General features: G+C 42.7%; 1 protein-coding gene across 50 annotated transcripts in view; it reads left to right on the top strand.

Annotated features, from left to right (window-relative positions):
* Positions 1–21,483, top strand: part of R3HDM2 (R3H domain containing 2) — a 177,378-nt gene that overhangs the window by 100,547 nt on the left and 55,348 nt on the right. For all 50 annotated transcript variants that reach the window (XM_047428533.1, XM_047428528.1, NM_001351217.2 and 47 more), the window contains one exon: positions 20,132–20,331. In XM_047428533.1, coding sequence (XP_047284489.1) covers positions 20,167–20,331 — 165 coding nt within the window. In that variant the 5' untranslated portion in view covers positions 20,132–20,166. The remainder of the gene's footprint in view (positions 1–20,131; positions 20,332–21,483) is intronic.

Genomic DNA, 21,483 nt, shown 5'->3' with positions numbered 1-21,483 from the left:
GGCGGGTGGATCACCTGAGGTCAGGAGTTCAAGACCAGCCTGACCAACATGGTGAAACCCCGTCTCTACTAAAAATACAAAAAATTAGCTGGGCGTGGTGGTGCGTGCCTGTAATTTCAGCTACTCAGGAGGCTGAGGCAGGAGAATCGCTTGAACCCAGGAGGCGGAGGTTGCTGTGAGCTGAGGTTGTGTCATTGAACTCCAGCCGGGGCAACGAGAGCAAAACCCCATTTCAAAAAAAAAAAGAATAAATGCATTCAGCAAAATAGAAGGATACAAAGTTATCACAAAAATCAGTTGCATTTCTGTACATTAATAATGAATAATCTGGCCAGGCACGGTGGTTCACACCTGTAATCCCAGCACTTTGGGAAGCTGAGCCAGGTGGATCACCTGAGGTCAGGAGTTCAAGACCAGCCTGACCAACATGGAGAAACCCTGTCTCTACTAAAAATACAAAACTAGCCAGGCATGTCAGTGCATGCCTGTAATCCCAGCTACTCGGGAGGCTGAAACAGGAGAATCACTTAAACCCGGGAGGCGGAGGTTGCGGTGAGCCGAGATCGCACCTCCAGCCTGGGCAATAAGAGCAAAACTCCATCTCATAAAAACAACAACAACAACAAAAATCTGAGAAGGAAATTATGAAAACAATTCCATTTACAATAGCATCAAAAACAATAAAATACTTAGGAATTAACCAAGGACGTGAGAGACTTATACAATAAAAACTATAAAACATTGCTGAGAGAAAAGAAATTAAAGAAAATATAAATGGAAACACATCCCATGTTCATGGATTGGAAGACTTAATATTGTTGTTCTTTTTTTTTCTTTTTCTTTTTTTTTGAGACGGAGTCTTTTTCTGTCGGCCCACTACAACTTCTGCCTCCTGGTTCAAGCGATTCTCCTGCTTCAGCCTCCCTAGTAGAGGCTATTTATATGATGTCAATTTGACGTGGGAATATGTTACTCATAAGAGAAAAACAGTACCAGTAAGCAGCAAGGAAAAGAGACGTCTCAATTATTTTTCTCTCCCTTCTTACTATAAAATGATTAGGGGGAACTAGTATTCACTTAGCAACTACTGTGCAGGCACCTTGCAATTGTTATCTTGTGATTTTTAGTGGCTCTGTGAGATATGTATCATGCCTATCCTACAGATAAGGAGGCTGAGGCTCAGTGACATAATTAGTAAGTTGTAGAAACAGTAGTCACACAGCCAAATTCTTGTGGATCTACGAAGTCCACAATCTTATCTACTGTTCTTATGTACTATAACATGATTGTTGTCTCCTACATTGTAGAGATTAATATTCTTTATTTTGATAGGTTTTACCCCTCATTCACCATAATGACGCTCGTCTTTCTCCTTGCAGCAGAGATAGTGTTAGGTACAAGGGTGGTATACCCTTATATCCTCCATAAAAGTGGCAACTCTCCCTTATTTTACCTCTTTCCTCCCAATCAGCTCCAGGATGTTGAGATAGTATTCTTTGCTTATATAAATTGTTTATTATTTTTTCATTATTATACTTAGTGTGTGTTTTTTATATATATGAGATACCATGTAGAGAGTATATTAGGATTGGGATCTTCTACAATTAACAGCAAAACCCAAATACAGGCATACCTTGGAGACACTGTGAGTTTCGTTCCAGACCACTGCAATTGAATATCACAATAAAGCAAGTCATACAAATATTTTGTGTCTCAGTGCATATAAAAGTTATGTTTACACTATACTGTCATCCATTAATACATTAATAATGAATAATCTGGCCAGGCACGGTGGTTCACGCCTGTAATCCCAGCACTTTGGGAAGCTGAGCCAGGTGCAATAGCATTGTCTAAAAAAAGTACATACCTTAATTTCAAAGTACTTTATTGCTGCCAGGTGCAGTGACACATACCTGGAGTCCCAGCTGCTCAGGAGGCTGAGATGGGAGGATAACTTAAGGCCCAGGAATTCAAGGCTGTGGGACACTATGATTGCACCCATGAATAGACATTGCACTCCAGCCTGGGCAACCTACTGAGAGACCCTGTCTCAAAACAAAGAAATGAAAAAAGTTTATTGCTAAAATATTCTAATAATCATCTGAGCCTTCAGCAAGTCATATATTTTGGCTGGTGAAGAGTCTGGTCTCAAGGTTGATGATTGCTGACTGATCAATGGTGGTGGTTGCTAAAGGTTGGGGTAGCTGTGGCAATTTCTTAAGATAAGACAACTGGCCAGGCATGGTGGCTCACACCAGTAATCCTAGCACTTTGAGAGGCAGAGGCAGGCAGATCACTTAAGCTCAGTAGTTCGAGAGCAGCCTGGGCAACACAGCGAAACCCTGTCTCTACAGAAAATACAAAAATTAACCAGGCTTGCCTGTAGTCCCAGCTCCTTGGGAGGTTGAGGCGGGAGGATCGCCTGAGCCTGGGAGTTTGAGGCTGCAGTGAGCTGTGATCGCGCCACTGCACTCCAGCCTGGGTGACAGAACGAGACCCTGTCTCAAAAAAAAAAAAAAAGATAACGTGAATTTACCGAATCGACTGACTGTTCCTTTCATGAAAGATGTCTCTAGAGCATACGGTACAGTTTGATAGCATGTTATCCACAGTTGAACTTGCAAAATTGGAGTCAGTCCTCTCAAACCCTGCCACTGCTTTATCAACTTAGTTTATGTAATATTCTAAATCCTTTATTGTCATTTCAGCAGTGTCCACAGCATCTTCACCAAGAGTAAATTCCATCTCAAGAACCTACTTTTTTGCTCATCCGTAAGAAACAACCCTCATCCATTGAAGTTTTACCATGAGATTGCAGCAATTCAGTCACATCTTCAGGCTCTACTTCTAATTCTAGTTCTCTGGCTATTTCCACCCCATCTTCAGATACTTCCACTAAAGTCTTGAACCCCTCAAAGTCTTCTGCAAGGGTTGCAATCCACTTCTTCCAAACTCCTGTTCGTGTTGATATTTTGACCTCCTCTCATAAATCACAAATGTTTTTAATGGCACCTAGAATAGTGAATCCTTTCCAGGTTTTCAATTTACTTTGCCTAGATCCATCAGAGGAATCAGTATCTATGGCAGCTATAGCCTTACAAAATGTATTTCTTTTTTTTTTTTTTTTTGAGACGGAGTCTTGCTCTGTCGCCCAGGCTGGAGTGCAATGGCGCGATCTCGGCTCACTGCAACCTCCGCCTCCAGGGTTCAAGTGATCCTCCTGCCTCAGCCTCCCGAGAAGCTGGGATTACAGGCCCCCACCACCATGCCTGGCTAATTTTTATATTTTTAGTAGAGATGGGGTTTCACCATGTTGGTCAGGCTGGTTTTGAACTCCTAACCTCAGGTGATCTGCCTGCCTTGGCCTCCCAAAGTGCTGGGATTACAGATGTGAACCACCATGTCTGGCCCTACAAAATGTATTTCTTAAATAATAAGACTTGAAAGTCTAAATGACTCCTTGATCCATGGGCTGCAGAATAATACATGTTATGTTAGCAGGCCTGAAAATAACATTAATCTCCTTGTACATATGAATCTTAGCTCTTGGGTGATTAGGTGCAATGTCAATGAGCAGTAATATTTTAAAAGGAATATTTTTTTTTTTGAGCAACATATCTCAACAGTGGGCTTAAAATACTGAGTAAATTATGCTGTAAACAGATGCGCTGTCATCCAGGTTTCTTTGTTCTATTTTTAGAGCACAGGCAGAGTTGATTTGGCATAATTCTTAAGGCCATAGGATTTTCAGAATGGTAAATTAATATTGGCTTCAACTTAAAGTCACCAGCTGCATTAGACCCTAACAAGAGAATCAGCCTGTCCTTTGAAGCACTGGAGCCAGGTTTTGACTTCTCCTCTCTAGCTATGAAAGATGACATCTCCTTCCAATAAAAGGCTCTTTTGTCTACACTGAAATTATTGTTTAATGTAGCCACCTTTATCAATTTTCTTAACTAGATCTTCTATATAATTTGCTACAGCTTCTACAACAGCACTTGCTGCTTCACCTTGCACCTTTAGGTTATGAAGACAATTTCTTTCCTTAAACTCATGAACCAACCTCTGCTAGCAGCAAACTTTTCTTCTGCAGCTTCCTCACCTTTCTCAGCCTTCATAGAATTGAAGAGAATTAGGGACTTGGCTGTTTCACTTTCTTACCATTTGTGTGTTCCCTGTAGTAGCACGTTTAATTTCAAGAACTTTTCCTTTGCATTCACCAGATGGGTAACTGCTTGGCACAAGAGGCCTAGCTTTTGACCTGTCTTGGCTTTCAACATGCCTTCCTCACGAAGCATAATTTCCAGCTTTTGATTTAAAGTGAGAGATGTGTGACTCTTCCTTTCACTTGAATGCTTACTTAGAGGCCACTGTAGAGTTATTAATTGGCCTAATTTCAATATTGTTACATCTCAGTGAATAGGGAGACCAAGGAGAGGGAGAGAGATCGGGGAACAGTTGGGTGGTAGAAGAGTCAGAACATTTACATTTATTGATTAAGTTCACTGTCTTACATGGGCACAGTTCCTGGTGCCCCCAAACAGTTACAACAGCGACATCAAAGATCACTGATGCCAGATCACAATAACACATATAATAATAAGGAAAAAGTTTGAAATACTACAAGAATTACCAAAATGTGACACAGAACATGAAGTGAACACATGCTGTTGGAAAAATGGTGCCGATAGACTTGCCTGACACAGGGTTGCCACAAACCTTCAATTTGTTTAAAAAAAAAAGAAAAGAAAAAACCAGGCACAGTGGCTCACACCTGTAATCTGGCACTTTGGGAGGCTGAGGTGGCAGGATTGCTTGAGGAATTCAAGACCAGCCCAGGCAATATAGGGAGACCCCCATCTCTACCAAAAAAAAAAAAAAAATTAGCTAAGGATAGTAGTGCATGCCTGTGGTTCCAGCAATTTGGGAGGCTGAGGTGGGAGGATAGCTTGGGCCTAAGGTCAAGGCTTCAGTGAGCTATGATCACACCACTGCACTCCAGAAGGAGTGACACAGCAAGAACCTGTATCTTGGAAAAAAATAAAATCAGAGGTAGTCAGTCCAGGACTGGTCTAATCAGGGGCCTAGGTTTCTATGTCTATGGTTTTCCACTCTGGTATCATCTCAGGGTCCAAATGGCTGCTGGAGTGCTAGCCTTTACTTTCACATTCAAGCCAGAAGGAATTAGGGATGAGTGAAGAGGTACTGCCCACTTCCTTTAAAGATACTTCATGGCCAGCCTAGCCAATGTGGTGAAACCTTGTCTCTATTAAAACTACAAAAATTAGCCAAGCATGGTGGTATGTGCCTGTAATCCCAGCTACTTGGGGAGGCTGAGGCAGGATAATCTCTTGAACCCGGGAGGTGGAGGTTGTAGTGAGCCGAGATCGTGCCACTGCACTCTAGCCTGGGCGACAGAGTGAGACTGCTAGGGCTGCCATAACAAAAGAGCACATGCTGGGTGGCTTAAACAATATACATGTATTTTCTTATAGTTTTGTAGGCTAGAAGCCCAAGATCAAGGTGTTGGCAGGTTTGGTTTCTCTTGAAGCCTCTGTGGCTTCCAGATGGTCACCTTCTCTCTGTCTTCACATGATATTTCCTTTGTGGGCACCATGCCTCTGGTGTACTTCTGTGTCCAAATTTCCTCTTCTTATAATGACACTAGTCAGATTGGATTAGGACCCACCCTAACAGCTTCATTTAACTTAATCGCCTCTTTAAAGGCCCTGTCTCCAAATACAGTCACATTCTGAGGTACTGAGGGTAAGGACTTTAACACGGGAACTGGGTGGGGGACATCATGTGTTCAGCCCATAACACTACTTCTTATATCTCATGGACTATAACTTAGTCATGTACTCATTTAGCTACAATGGAGATTAGGATGTGTGTAGCTTTTCCCCAGGAAGCTGTGTGCCCCAACTTAAAATCAGCAGCTCTGTTACAAAAGAGATGATTGGATATCGGGGAATAAATAGCAGTTTCTCCTTTGCAGCAGAGGCTTGAGGACTAATGATTATTACAGATTTCCATTTTTTCTTTGAAATCAGGTTGTTGTCTAATTTCTCTGGCCAATCTCACATTTGATGTTAGATTTTGAAAGATTGTCAGCCAGGCGCAGTGGCTTACGCCTGTAATCCCAGCACTTTGGGAGGCTGAGGCAGATGGATCACCTGAGGTCAGGAGTTCGAGACCAGCCTGCCCAACATGGTGAAACCCCGTCTCTACTAAAAATACAAAATTAGCCAGGTGTGGTGGTGCACACCTGTAATCCCAGCTACTGGGGAGGCTGAGGCAGGAGAATTGCTTGAACCCAGGAGATGGAGATTGCAGTGAGCCGAGATCACGCCATTGCACTCTAGCCTGGGCAACAAGAGTGAAACTCCATCTCAAAAGAAAGAAAGATTGTTTTAATACTGAATTGTTGTCTGATGTGTCCTTTCTAAGGTCATCGGTTATGGCAGGATAGATGTAGTTGCCTGGCATTTAAGTTAGTAATGGAAGGCATCCTGAGAGTGCCATGAATGTAGATAAATTGTGATTTTTTTTTTCCTTTTCCAGATATCTTCTCTGGGTTGAGTTGGAAACAGTTTCGCAAAGGGGTGGGAAAAGACAGTGTGAACTTTCAGGGTCTCTTTCATCCCTCAGATTCTGCGATGCTTTCTGCATAGTGGCATTACTTTCATAAAGCTAGAGGAAATGGAAGCATTAGAGGGAAAGGACCCTCTGCTCCTCTTTGTTTGAAAGAGGAGGCTATTCGGTTTGTTCTGTTCCACTTTAGGACGTAAAAAGGGCATTTTTAACCAAGAATGTAGAGAGGCTGACAAAAACTGTTAACGGGGCCCAACCAACACTTCAGTCCATTGATCAAAGCACCTACAGTTCTCATTTTAAGGCAAGTACAGCCATAACAGATACTGAGCAAATAAAGAGGGTATACACGTCCAGAACATTTTAATCTTGTTTCTCTCTTTACTTTGCCTAAGGAATTGCTCTGGATACCAGCCAGTTCCTATGGGTTTCCTTACACACCAGTGAATCCTTTTGCAGTTACAGAACAGAATGATTTTCATGCTTCCCTGATTTGGAATATTGGCACAACTATTGTTTTATTATTGTTATTGGCCCAGTACTAATGAAGCCTATGACAGTTTCTACAGTCCTTAAAGGGCTTGGTGACTGTCATATACCTATAGCTTTATGTGTTTCATAAGTACTTTACACTCTATTCCCATATATTCATTCTCTCTTTGAAGAAAATGAAGATTTGGACCTATATCTCTTACTCATAACTCAGTAGGACCTTCCTTCCTGTCCTTCTCCAAACGGCTGTTAGGCATTTACCTCTTCAGGCACGCAGTTATACTGTTTTTGTTTTTGTCCTTTGTTTTGACACTGTAATGGAAAGAACATGGAATTTTGGAACCAAGTAGACCTGGATTTGAATTCTAGCTCCTTGCCTGTAGTGTATGGCCCTGAACAAGTCACTTAGTATTTCTGAGTGTTGATATCTTTATTTTTTTTGGTATCTTTTTTATAAAGTGGAGATAACACTTTATACCTTGAGAATATTGAGTAAGATGATCTCAATAAACTGTAAAAAAATTCAAAGTCATAGGGATGGACCCAGGTTGAGGGGAAAGATGAGAGTTTACAAGTCTAATTTTTTATTTCAAAAATATGTTCCCCCACTGGTACTCAGAGGCCTCAGATCTAGGCACCCTTCCCATCCGACACTCCACACCCCAGAATGCTTCTGAATGAGCAGCCACCCTGGAACACCTAGGACTTTAACTTTTGGATCAGACACAGCTAGGTTGGAATTCTACCATTGCCTCTCTTGTATTGACTTGGGAAAGTTATTAGATTTATCTGAGCTTTGGTTTCTTCAACTGGAAAATACCCTAACAAAGAGTTGTGTTAGGATTCAACAATAAGTAAAAAGAAAAAAATAATTAAAAAAAAGTCGAGAAAGAATGCAGACTTTGGAATCAGACAACATGGAGGTTCTGGTCTGTTTCTGCCACTTAGTGACGGAACCTTGATCAGGTTGCTTAGCTGCACTTGGTGGATATGAGTTGAAGTACATAAAGCACCAGGCTCATAATCATGCTCAGTAAACCTCAGTAAATCATGTACCTTTTCATTTTCTCCTAATTCCCAATGTCAAAGAATGGAAGAAAAGGCTTGTGACACAGGAGCACCTAGACTGTTTTGTTTTTAAGCTACCACTTAACCCCTGTGGATGTTTGTTCCTACTGTTTGATTCCTAAAGGAATTTTTGGGTTTGTTTGTTTTGGTGTAGTTAAATAATGTATAATAAAATGCACAGATCTTAACCATTTTGTTAATGAGGTTTGTTTGTTTGTTTGTTTTGAGATGGAGTCTCACTCTGTTGCCCAGGCTGGAGTGCAGTGGCGCGATCTTGGCTCACTGCAACCTCCGCCTCCAGGATTCAAGCAGTTCTGCTGCCTCAGCCTCCCGAACAGGCGAGCGCCACCACACTCGGCTAATTTTTGTATTTTTTAGTAGATATGGGGTTCACCATATTGGCCAGGCTGGTCTCGAACTCCTGGCCTCGTGATCCGCCCACCTTGGCCTCCCAGAGTGCTGGGATTACAGGTGTGAGTCACCACGCCTGGCCTAGTTAATGAGTTTTGACAATTGTATTCACCCATGTAACCACTGCATCAAATAAAATTGAATATTTCAATCAGTCCTGGAGGGTCCCTTCTTTCTCTTTCCAGTCAAGTCCTGAGCAATCATTTTCTGATTGTGATCACTGTAGGTTAGTTTTGCTTGTTCTTGAGCTTCACATAAATAGACTATTATAGTATGTGTTCTGGTGGCAGGGGGTGGGGAGGAGAGTCTACTTTCTTTAATTTATCATAGTAGTTTTGAGATCCATCCATGCTTTTGTTTTGTTTTGTTTTATTTTCCAAGACGGAGTTTCGCTCTTGTTGCCCAGCCTGGAGTGCAATGGCCCGTTCTTGGCTCACTGCAACCTCTGCCTCCCGGTTCAGGCAATTTTTCTGCCTCAGCTTCCCGAGTAGCTGGGATTACAGGCATGCCACCACCACACCCGGCTAATTTTTGCATTTTTAGTAGAGACGGGGTTTCACCATGTTGGTCAGGCTGGTCTCGAACTCCTGACGTCAGGTGATCCACCCAACCTGGCCTCCCAAAGTGCTAGGATTACAGGCATGAGCCACTGTGCCCGGCCCTATCCATGTTTTTGTGTGTCTCAGTATGTACAGTAAGGTTGAGCAACCTTTACCCAAAATGCTTGGGACTGTCTGTATTTCAGATTTAAGATTTTTTGGATTTTGGAAATTTTTTTAAATTTTGGAATATTATGGTTGACCATCCATAATCCAAAACCCAAAATTGGAAATGTTCCTATGTACATCCCTTGAGCATCATATTGGTGCTCAAAAAGCTTTGGATTTTGTACTCTTTCAGATTTCAGATTTTCTCATTAGGGATGCTCAGCCTATAGTTCAGTCTTTTTTATTATTAAATAATATTACATTTGTTTATTCTCCTGAGCCCCTAGATTTTAAACATTTTTTAAAATGTATCAATTGAGAGTAACTTATGATTGATAAACAAATTAGTACAGGACCGGAAAGCTTCCAAGGAATTTGCCACAGGGTAGACCAGAATTTTTAGCACCTAGATATCGTTGTCTTGCTTGCATTCTCTCTACTTGGCCATAGATTAAAAGTGAGAAAATGAAATTATTCTTCTGTCTCTGAATATCCCCTATCTAACATATTCCTTTTGGCTCAATGCCTAGAAAGTTGTTTATAAATTGATGGAAGGATATATAATCTCACTCTATTATGGAAGGTACTTACCCTAGCAGTAAAAAAAATTATAGGGAATATGCAGTATTCTCCCTGAAAAAAATAGGTGAATCTTGGCTTCCAATAATCTTCCCCTGTATTATCCTATTTCTTCACTGCCCCACCTGTTCCCCCGACATCTCACAGTCCCCTCTGTGCAGCTTTGAGCTACTGAGTATCCTCAGGAGACATCTTGCCTTTGAAATTGTACTATTTGGCTGGATGAAATGTACACTGTACACAAATAGGTTGTAGGGAAGCACACATCTAGGCCCTCCTGGGAGCCTAATGTCTGCTTTGTTCTAGTCACCATTACATATGAAGTAGTTCCTTTCTTCTCCCATCAAAAACCTCCCAAACCCTTAATTTCTTCTCTATACCAAATAAACTATTAAGAATGGAATTACTTCTCTGCCTTTTAAGCTACTACTGGCTTTATTTTAGCTGTTTAAGGCTTTTTTTTTTTTTTTTTTTTTTTTTTTGAGATAGAGTTGCACTCTTGTTGCCCAAGCTGGAGTGCAGTGGAGCAGTCTTGGCTCACTGCAACCTCCACCTCCCGGGTTCAAGCGATTCTCCTGCTTCAGCCTCCTGAGTAGCTGGGATTAGCAGGCACGCACCACCACCCCCAGCTAATTTTTTGTATTTTTAGTAGAAACGGGGTTTCACCGTGTTGGCCAGGCTCATCTCAAACTCCTGACCTCAGTGATCCGCCCGCCTCCCAAAGTGGTGGGATTGCAGGCGTGAGCCACTACGCCCAGCCTAAGGCTTTTTTTAGTTGGTTGCTTTCTTTTGCTTTTGTTTTGGCCCAGAAAAAATTGTTTCCAGGAATCTTTATGCCCCAAGAGTAACGAGAGCCTTCTGCATTGGCTGAAAGGACTGGAAATGACCTTAATTAAAGGTTATTTTGGAAAGCAAAAGAGAGCCTCAGCCTAAGAAATACAGTTTTATGCTTAGTTTATCTTCCAGTGGATCTTAACTCTGTATTAGTAACAGTCTGACCCCTCATTACTCGCCTCTGCCTACTTTCAGGGCAGTTTCTTTTATCCTAGAAGAAAATGGTAAGGAGACTTAAAGCCATGTGATTTGAAAGCTTGACTTAAAGAAGCTGGGAATGTTTAGAGAAGGAAATAAGGTAAAGTTTTCTTTTACAAAGAGCTGATAGGGAAGCAAGATTAAGCTTGTTCTTTATGACTCGCACAGAAGGCTAAACAGGGGCCGGTGGGAGGAACTACCAAAGAGGTAAATTTTGCCTCTTTAAAAGGAAAGTGTTCCAAAAAGAAATGGTTTCTTTCTGGAGGTGAAGACTTTCCCTTCACTAAGAGGTATACAAGCAGGGACATTTTTCACAGTTACTAATGAGTTAAGAACCTAATTATGGAAGACTACGGTTGTAGAAAAATGGAGCTAAGGCTGGGCGTAGTGGCTCACGCCTGTAATCCTAGCACTTTGGGAGGCTGAGGCGGGCAGATTACTTGAGGTCAGGAGTTCGAGACCAGCCTGGCCAACATGGTGAAACCCCTTCTCTACTAAAAGTACAAAAATTAGCCGGAAATTGCTTGAACCCGAGAGGCGGAGGTTGCCGAGATCATGCCGCTTGCACTCCAGCCTGGGCAATAGAGCGAAACTCCATCTCAAAAAAAAGAAAAAGAAAAATGGAGAATGAGAAAGCTTCTAAATACCCTTACAGTTATGAGATTCCATGATTCCCTTGTGTCTTTGGTAGACTTTCCTTTCTGGTTTTTGACTATTTCTCCCCTTAGTTAGAGGCAGTATTGTATAAAGTTTAAGAAAGCAAGTAACAAAGCCAGATTTTCTGGATTTGAGTCCTGGCTCTGCCATATGCCAGTTGTGTGCCCTTTTAAGCAAAGTGTTTAACTTCTCTGTGCCTCAGTTTACTTGTCTGTAAAATGGTGATAATAGTAAGAATAAATATGTAATAGGATCATTGTAAGATTAAATGAGATACATAAAATATTTTAGGATAGTGCCTGGCACAATGTAAGCACTCAAAAGTTTTAGCTGATTATTATTATTATTGCCTGTCTCCCTGTCAGTTATTTCTTTCTTTCTTTTTTCTTTTCTTTCTTTTTTTTTTTGAGATGGAGTCTCGCTTGTTTGCCCAGGCTGGAGTGCGGTGGCACGATCTCAGCTCACCACAACCTCCGCCTCCCAGGTTCAAGCGATTCTTCTGCCTCAGGCTCCTGAGAAGCTGTGACTAAGGCACACACCACCATGCCTGGCTAATTTCTGTACTATTAGTAGAGATGGGGTTTCACTATGTTGACCAGGCTGGTCTCGAACTCCTGACCTTGTGATCTGCCCACCTCGGCCCCCCAAAGTGCTAGGATTACAGGAGTGAGCCACTGCACCACCCAGCCTGTCAGTTATTTCTACTTAAAGAGCTGGACTTCTCTGCCTGGTCCAGGTAGTTCCTCTCTTTTTTCTTTTCTTTGAGACAGAGTCTTGCCTTTTTGCCCAGGTTGGAGTGCAGTAGTATGATCTCGGTTGCCCGCAACCTCCTCTTCCTGGGTTCAAGCTATTCTCCTGCCTCAGCCCCCCAAGTAGCTGGAATTACAGGCAGACACCCCACCATGCCCGGCTAATTTTTGTATTTTTAGTAGAGATGGGGTTTGACCATATTGGCCAGGCTGGTCTCGAACCCCTGACCTCAAGTAATCCACCCGCTTCAGCCTCTCAAAGTGCTGGAATTACAGGCATGAGCCACCTCGCCCAGCCATTCCTTTTTTTTTTTTTTGGGGGGGCGGGGACGGAGTCTCGCTCTGTTGCCCAGGCTGGAGTGCAATGGTGCAGTCTTGGCTCACTGCAACCTCTGCCTCCCAGGTTCAAGTGATTTTCCTGCCTCAGCCTCCTGAGTAGCTGGGATTACAGGCACCCCCCACCACACCCGGCTAGTAATTTTTTTGTATTTTTAGTAGAGACGGGGTTTCACTATGCTGGCCAGGCTGGACTCGAACTCCTGACCTCATGATTCGCCTGTCTCGGCCTTTACAGGCGCGAGCCACCCGGCCTGGCCCGTTCCTCTGTTAATATACCCTTTTTTTTTTTTTTTTTTTTAACTATCTTCTTAATATACCCTTTTTTTTTTTTTTAACTATCTCCCAGGATTCTGACATAATAAACTCAACTCAGAGTATCTTAAATGGTAAGAGGATTTATAACTTCACATATCAGGAAGTCCAGAGATAGGGAGGGTCGAGATTGACTATTGTCTAATCACAGCATCAAGGATGCAGGCTCCAGCCAGTCATGGTGGCTCACATCTGTAATCCTAGCACTTTGTGAGGCCAAGGCGGGTGGATTGCTTAAGCCCAGGAGTTCAAGACCAGCTTGGGTGACATGGCAAAACCCCATCTCTATTACAAATACAAAAATTAGCCATTCGTGGTGATGGGCGCCTGTAATCCCAGCTACTCAGGAGGCTGAGCCCCAGAGGTTGAGGCTGCAGTGAGCTGTGATCATGCCACTACACTCCAGCCTAGGTGACAGACTGAGACCCTGTCTCAAAAAAAAAACAAAAAAACAAACAAAAAAAAACACAAAAAGCCTGGGCAAGGTGGTCACACCTTTATTCCAATCGCTTTGAGAGGCTGAGGTGGGCAGATCACCTGAGGTCAAGAGATTGAGACCAGGCTGGCCAACATGGCAAAACCCCATCTCTACAAAAATACAAAAATTAGGCCAGGTGCGATGTCTCACGCCTGTAATCCCTGCACTTTGGGAGGCCAAGGTGGGTGGATTACCTGAGGTCAGGAGTTCAAGAGCAGCCTGGCCAACATGGAGAAACCCCATCTCTACCAAAAATACAGAAATTAGCTGAACGTGGTGGCACGTGCCTGTAATCCCGGCTACTCAGGAGGCTGAGGTAGAATCGCTTGAACCCAGGAGGCAGAGGTTGCAGTGAGTCAAGATCACACCACTGCACTCCAGCCTGGGTGACAGAGTGAGACTCCATGTAAAAAAAAAAAAAAAAATAGCTGGGCGTGGTGGTGCATGCCTGTAATCCCAGCTACTAGGGAGGCTGAGGCAGGAGAATCACTTGAACCTGGGAGGTGGAGGTTGCAGTAAGCCAAGATCTCACCACCGTACTCTAACCTGGGTGATATAGTGAGACTCCATCTCAAAAAAAAAAAAAAAAAAAAAGGATGGATGCAGGCTTATTTTCTCTGCTTCCCCATCCTCCATGTGTTGGCAGGGTGCTGCCACAGTCTAGGTATCATCTGCATCCAAGATCACCTTTGGTAGAAGATACCTGTTTCTTCCAGAGGCTTAAAAAAATTTTAAATAAAATAGGAAACCTTTTCCATTCAACAAAGTCCCTTTGTGTCTCACTTGTCCCTTCTAAAACCAGTCACAAAAAGGAAACAGAATTACCACAATTGGTTTAACTAATTTATATCCATCTCCCAGGGATTGGGGATAAGGTCTCCTTCCCTGATCATGTATTCTCAGGGGAAGGCAAGCGCCAAAAGAAATCTGGGTTAGATCAATGAATGTGGAAGAACAGGGAAGTCTGGGGAGGTGCCCTTTCCTCTGCTGCTTCATTTTTCTCAGTGTAAGAATTATTTTGTTTTATACAGCTCTTCAAGAGGCTGGTGGTCTCAGTAGAATGACTGACTAAATTTTTTTTGAGACAGGTTTCACTCTGTTGCGCAGGCTGGAGTACAGTGGAGTGATCTCAGCTCACTGCAACCTCTGCCTCCCAGGCTCAACTAAGTAGCTAGGACCACAGGCGTGTGCCACCACGCCCGGCTAATTTTTGTATTTTTGGTAGAGATGGGGTTTGCCATGTTGCCCAGGCTGGTCTTGTACTCCTAAGCTTGAGCAATTCACCTGCCTTGGCCTCCCAAAGTGCTCTGACTGTAGGCGTGAGCCAACACGCCCAGCCAACTGATTAAATTCTTAAAAGTGGGTAGTTAAATGAGTCTGTTTTATGGGTATCTGTGAGAAGCTAAAGTTCAAGTCTTCCTGTTTCTCCAATGAATGAAGGAAGCCATGTGTCTCCGTAAAACTTGAGGTTGAATATGTGACCATATTCTACAGATGAAAGATCATTTTTTATTTGTTTGTGTTCAGTGTTTTGGCTGAGAAACAGTGGTTGGACACTGATATTATTCCAGGTATCCAGATAGTTGGTCTTTTCCTGACCCACATGTGAAGGAGAGCTGCAAAGTTGTCATTTTGATTTGACGAAATATACCCATTTGGTAATTAAGGCCCATCCTTGAAAAAGAAACAAACCACTGCTGTGCCTTGAACGGTGGCTGAGGCCTGTAATCCTAGCACTTTGGAAGGCCAAGGCAGGTGGATCACTTGAGCTCAGGAGTTTGAGACCAGCCTGGGCAACATGGCAAAACCCTATCTCTAAAAGTAATAGAAAAATTAGGCTGGGTGCAGTGGCTCACACCTATAATCCCAGCACTTTGGGAGGCCGAAGTGGTGGGTGGATCACCTGAGGTCAGGAGTTGGAGACCAGCCTGGCCAACATGGTGAAACCCCGTCTCTGCTAAAAATATAAAAATTAGCCAGGTATGGAAGCGAGCGCATGTAATGCCAGCTACTTGGGAGGGTGAGGCAGAAGAATCACTTGAACCTGGGAAGCAGAAGTTGCAGTGAGTGAGATTGCCACTGCATTCCAACCTGAGTGACAGAGCGAGACTCTGTCTCAACAAGAGAAAAAAAAAAAAAGAAATAGAAAAATTAGCCAGGCGTGGTGGCACATACCTGTAGTCCCAGCTACTTGGGAGGCTGAGATAGGAGGATCACCTGAGCCCGGGGAGGTTGAGGCTGAAGTGGGCCACGATCATGCCACTGCAGCCTGGGTGACAGAGTGAAACCCTGTCTCAAAAACAAAACCAAAAAACGAAAACTGCTTTATAATTTTTTATATCACCTTTTCTTTCTGACAAATAAATTTGAGGCTATTTAAGCTTGGAAAAGAGAAAAATACTGAAGGCCTATCATGTGATAAAAGATGTAAACTTAATTTTTTGTGACTCTAAGACTGATTTAGGATCAAGATTGAAGCAGTTCATAATTTATAATAGGGAGCAACTATGTAACAATTAAGACTATTTCATAACTAGTGAAATGATCCTGTTCCAGTTTTCCCAGAGGTTAGCAGGCCTTTCAGAAAATTACAAAAATGAGTTCTTCTTTGGGGAATAGGGGAAGATTGTGGGAGGTCAAATCTAAGAACTCTTCCAGTTTTGACTATTATTTAATTTTTATTTATTTTTTATTTTTGAGACAGAGTTTTACTTTTGTTGCCTAGGCTGGAGTGTAATGGCACAATCTCGGCTCACCGCAACCTCTGCCTCCCAGGTTCAAGTGATTTTCCTGCCTCAGCCTTCCTGTTAGCCGGGATTGCAGGCATGCACCACCACGCCCAGCTAATTTTGTATTTTTAGTAGAGATGGGGTTTCTCCATGTTGGTCAGGCTGGTCTCTAACTCCTGACCTCAGGTTATCCAACCGCCTCGGCCTCCCAAAGTGCTGGGATTACAGGCGTGAGCTACCGTGCCTGATTTTTTTTTTTGAGATGGATTTTTGCTCTTGTTGCCCAGGCGGGACTGCAATGGCACAATCTCAGCTCACCGCAACCTCCACCTTGCTGGTTCAAGTGATTCTCCTGTCTCAGCCTCCCGAGTAGCTGGGATTATAGGCATGCACCACCACACCTGGCTAATTTTGTATTTTTAGTAGAGACGGGGTTTCTCCATGTTGGTCAGTCTGGTCTCAAACTCCCAACATCAGGTGATCCGCCCACCTCAGCCTCCCAAAGTGCTGGGATTGCAGGTATGAGCCACTGCGCCTGATCTTTTTTTTTTTTTTTTTTTTTTTTCAGAGACAGGATCTTGCTTTGTCACCCAGGCTGGAGTGTAGTGGTGTGGTTGTAGCCCACTGCAGCCTTGAACTTCTGGGCTCAAGTGATCCTCCCACCTCAGCCTCCCGAGTAGCTGGGACGACAGGCACACTCCACCACATCCAGCTAATTTTGTTCTTTTTTTATAGAGAGGAGGTCTCACTATGTCACCCAGGCCAGTCTCAAACTCTTGGCCTCAAGCGACCCTCCTACCTCAGCCTTCTGAAGTGCTAAGATTACAGGCATGAGCCACTGCACCCAGCATAATTTATTTATTATTATTATTTTTTTTTTTTTTGAGACAAGGTCTTACTCTGTTGCCTAGGCTGTAGTGCAGTGGCAGAGTCATGGCTCAATGCATCCTTGACCTCCTGGGCTCAAGTGATCCTCCCGCCTCAGCCTCTTGAGTAGCTGAGACTACAAGTGTGCACCACCATGTCTGGCTAATTTTTTAAAAAAAATTTTGTAGAGACAGGGTCTCACTGTGTTGTCTAGGCTAGTCTAGAACTCCTGGGCTCAAGCGATCCTGCTGGCTCAGCCTCCCAAAGTGTTGGGGTTACAGGCATAAGCCAACACACACAGCTCCCAGTTTTGATCTTTATTAATGTTTCCTAGCCAAGAGATACGGAGAATGCATGTGCTGAGTTTTACTAGTACTTCAGACTGAAGAGAACTGAGGCTTGATTTACCCATTGTGGGGGTGGGTAATACATACATACATACTACATACATAAACAAAGTCCCATGTATAGCAAATGATCCATGAAGGTCTATAGGTTATAACTGTTTTTATAGTAGCCTTTAGTTACTGAATCAGATAATTTTAAAATGGAAGTTTGTAGTCAGTTTCTTTCAATATTTGTAGCTAGTTTCTTCTAATATTTCTCATCTTTAAATTCAACTATATGACTTTTTTTTTTTTTTTTTTTTTTTGAGCCAGAGTCTTGCTCTGTCACCCAGGCTGGAGTGCAGTGGTGCGACCTTGGCTCACCGCAACTTCTGCCTCCGAGGTTCAAGTGATTCTCCTGCCTCAGTCTCCCAAGCAGCTGGGAGGCAATTGAGCGCAATTGAGCCAGCTTGCTTAAGATAAAGGAAAGAATTTAAGGCTGGATGCAATGGCTTACCACCACGTCAGGCTAATTTTTGTATTTTTAGTAGAGACATTGTTTCACCATATTGGTCAGGCTGGTCTCGAACTCCTGACCTCAAGTGATCTGCCCACCTCGGCTTCCCAAAGTGTTGGGATTGCAGGTATGAGCCACTGTGCCTGGCCGTCAACTATATGACTTTGCAATTGTGTGAATGACTCTCTGGCCCTCTAAAGATAATTTATCTAGCCCTAAGTAAACCAAGTCTCCAGGCAGCTGCTGAAGAGCCACCACAAGGTGAACAAAACAGTACTCTAACCACAGCCTTCTGAGTAGCTAGAACTACAGGCACATGCCACCACTCCCTGAACGCAGGAGTTTGAGGCTGCAGTGAGCTATGATCGCATCACTGCACTCCAGCCTGGGTGACAGAGTGAGATCCTGTCTCAAAAAAAAAAAAAAAAAAAATCACAAAGCAGTAGCCTGGCAGACCATCTAACTTATGTCAGGATGAGGCTAACTTTGCTTCTTGAAAGACTTCTGGGTCTTACCCTTCTTACCCTTTAAACTGATTTGAAGGAGAGGAAAATATCTGTTGTGACAATTTTCTTGAAGCATTGCTATCCATTTGTCTGTTTATTTAATTCCATTTCTAGGGCTACACTGGGAATAGATGTGACATCTGGGAGAGTTTCCAGTAAAGGAGGGAAAGAAGTCTTCAGGGTTGAAGTACAGTCAGTAACCTGTATAAGGAGAAACCTCTGCAAACTATTGTTGTAGCTAAACATGTTTGACTTCGGCAATTGAGGACATGAATCTGTGTGTAGAGTATCAACTTCTGATTCTTAGTTTGTGGTTGGAGAACTGTGTAGGCTTCATTACAGGATTTCCCAGGTAGTGATAGTAAGTGATAAAGAAGCAGCCATCCCTGCAGTATAGATACTCCATCACTGGGAGACAGTAGATTGACTGAACCCAAATAGTGTATAGCAAAGTAAAGATTCCTCCTCCAGGGAGGGACCCAATCTTTCTGAAGGACAGATGTCTACAAAGTTCTCTTCTTGTTTTTTCAGCTTGCTTAAGATAAAGGAAAGAATTTAAGGCTGGGTGCGATGGCTCACACCTCTAATCCCAACACTTTGGGAGGCTGAGGTGGGAGGATCACTTAAGTCCAGGAGTTCAAGACCAGTTTGGGCAATATACCAAGACTCCATCTCTACAAAAAAAATCTTAAAAATTAGCCGGGCAGGCTGGGCGTGGTGGCTCACGACTGTAATCCCAGCACTTTGGGAGGCTGAGGCGGGCGGATCACGAGATCAGGAGATCAAGACCATCCTGGCTAACACAGTGAAACCCTGTCTGTACTAAAAAATAGAAAAAATTAGCTGAGCGTGGTGGCGGGCACCTGTAGTCCCAGCTACTCAGGAGGCTGAGGCAGGAGAATGATGTGAACCCAGGAGGCAGAGCTTACAGTGAGCCGAGATCATGTCACTGCACTCCAGCCTGGGTGACAGAGCGAGACTCCATCTCAAAATATATATATATATATAAGATTTTATAGATTCTATAACCATTTAAGCTTTGTCTGATTTTACTTCTTTTTGAAGGGAGAGTAGCTTGAAGTTGGTTAACAGTGTTGTGGGTTTGTGGTAGCTGTGAAAGTTCTTCCTTGGGAAAGGAGCATACTCCTTTCTAGTAGTCAATGGAGCTTTATAATTTTCTTCTTTCTGGAGAGGATCTAATGGGTGAAGTGATTGAGCCAGAAATGTGCGCAAATTTCTGTAGGGAACAAGGGGAGAAAATAAAGTGTCAAGAGGGCTCATGCTACTTTAGAACTGAATCCTGGTGAATCTCAAAATAATTATGCTGAGTAAAAGAGTCCAGACAGTGTATGATTGATTCCATTTATATAAAATTCTAGAAAATACAGACTAATCTGTAGTGACAGAACAGATCAGTAGTTGGCTGGGGTTAGTGTGAAGGGAGGAAGAGATTACAAAGGGACATGAGGAACCTTTGGGGCATGGTGAATGCGCTCACTGTTTTGATTGGGGTGATGGTTTCACAGGTGAATGCATGTGTCATAATATAAAATTATACATTTTAAATACATGCAGTTTATGTCAATTTTACCTCAATAAAGTTTTTTTTTTTTAAAGAAATGAACCCAGGGACAGCATTTATTAAATAACTCTTTTCTGGGTTAAAGGAAGGCTGCTGGAAAAAATGTACCCGTGTGAAATACGAGTCTTGTGTATTTGTTAAGTATGGATACATACCTCCTGCTTAATGCATTTGATGTTTCTTTAGGAGTCCATAGAGGCCACTGTATTCTATTGAAGAACATGTCTAACAGTAACACTACTCAAGAGACCCTGGAAATAATGAAAGAATCAGAAAAAAAACTGGTGGAAGAATCTGTAAACAAAAACAAGTTTATATCTAAGACTCCAAGTAAGGAAGAAATTGAGAAAGAATGTGAAGATACCAGTTTGCGTCAGGAGACACAGGTAACGATTGGAAATGCATTGTATGCACACTTTTTTTTTTTCCTTTAGAGACAGGGTTACCCAGCTCTGTCTGTTACCCAACCTGGAGTGCAGTGGCACAATTAGGGCCCACTGCACCCTCAAACTCCTGCATCAAGAGATCCTCCCACGTCAGCCTCCCAAGTAGCTGGGACTACAGGCATGTGCAACCACATCCAGCTAATATAAAAAAATTTTTTTGTAGAGACAGGGTCTATGTTGCCCAGGCTGGTCTCAAACTCCTGGCCTCAAATGATTCTCCTGTCTTTGCCTCTCAAAATGCTGGGATTATAGGTGTGAGCCACTGTGCCCGGCCAACATTCTTTATACCTGAATAAAAGTGGAGATGTGTAAGAATCAGTCACTTTTAGAAACACTTGATTCTCTTTAAAAACTCCAGCTTCAACTCTCAAAAGAAATCTTCCCTTTTTGTCATATAGTCCACAATGAAGTCTAAAAAGGACAGAGTAAAATCCCTAATCTATTTGGGCCTGAGTTCACTGGTTCTTGCTGCATTTTGACTTTTTTTATTACCAAAAAATAAACTGTACACAAACGCATATTTAATAAGTCATAAAATGACTCATATAATAAACTCTTAAAACTTGAGCTTCCTGGCTTTACACACAGTGTTAAATTCATATCCTGGTTGTGTTAAAGCAGTCAGCATTTTTCTGGGTCAGAAATAGCCTCTGAACTTGCCACTTGGTAAATGTGAGTAAAAGGAATTTCACTCTTTGTTTGCCATGTTTTTCATCCAAATTCGTACTGTAGTACAGAAATGATGGTAGTAGATAGTTAGCCAAACTTCCTTGTGGGGTTCTTCTTTGGTTTCTGCCTGGCCAGCCCAAACTCTGAGCCTCCTCTCATCTACCTGTTAGAGCCCTTATTCTGTGGTCACTGCTGGTTTCTTCTGTTACCCAAGCCCAACAAATCCTTTCCTTCATGCCCAGGGGTGAAAACTGGTTTTATTATAAGTCAAGAGACAGACAATTAACACTAGCAAGAAGTTAGATTAAAACACCGGAACAACAACATTTTAGAGGGTCTGGAAACTTGAAGCATAATTTTTCTAGACAATTCAATTCACATAAGGTTTGTCTTCTTTAAAGATTAAAACAGCAATAATATAAA

The sequence above is a fragment of the Homo sapiens genome, chromosome 12, assembly GCF_000001405.40.
Source record: "Homo sapiens chromosome 12, GRCh38.p14 Primary Assembly".
NCBI classification, from domain to species: domain Eukaryota; kingdom Metazoa; phylum Chordata; class Mammalia; order Primates; family Hominidae; genus Homo; species Homo sapiens.
Note: the sequence above shows the minus strand (reverse complement) of the source record. Positions and strands in the feature narration are given on the sequence as shown.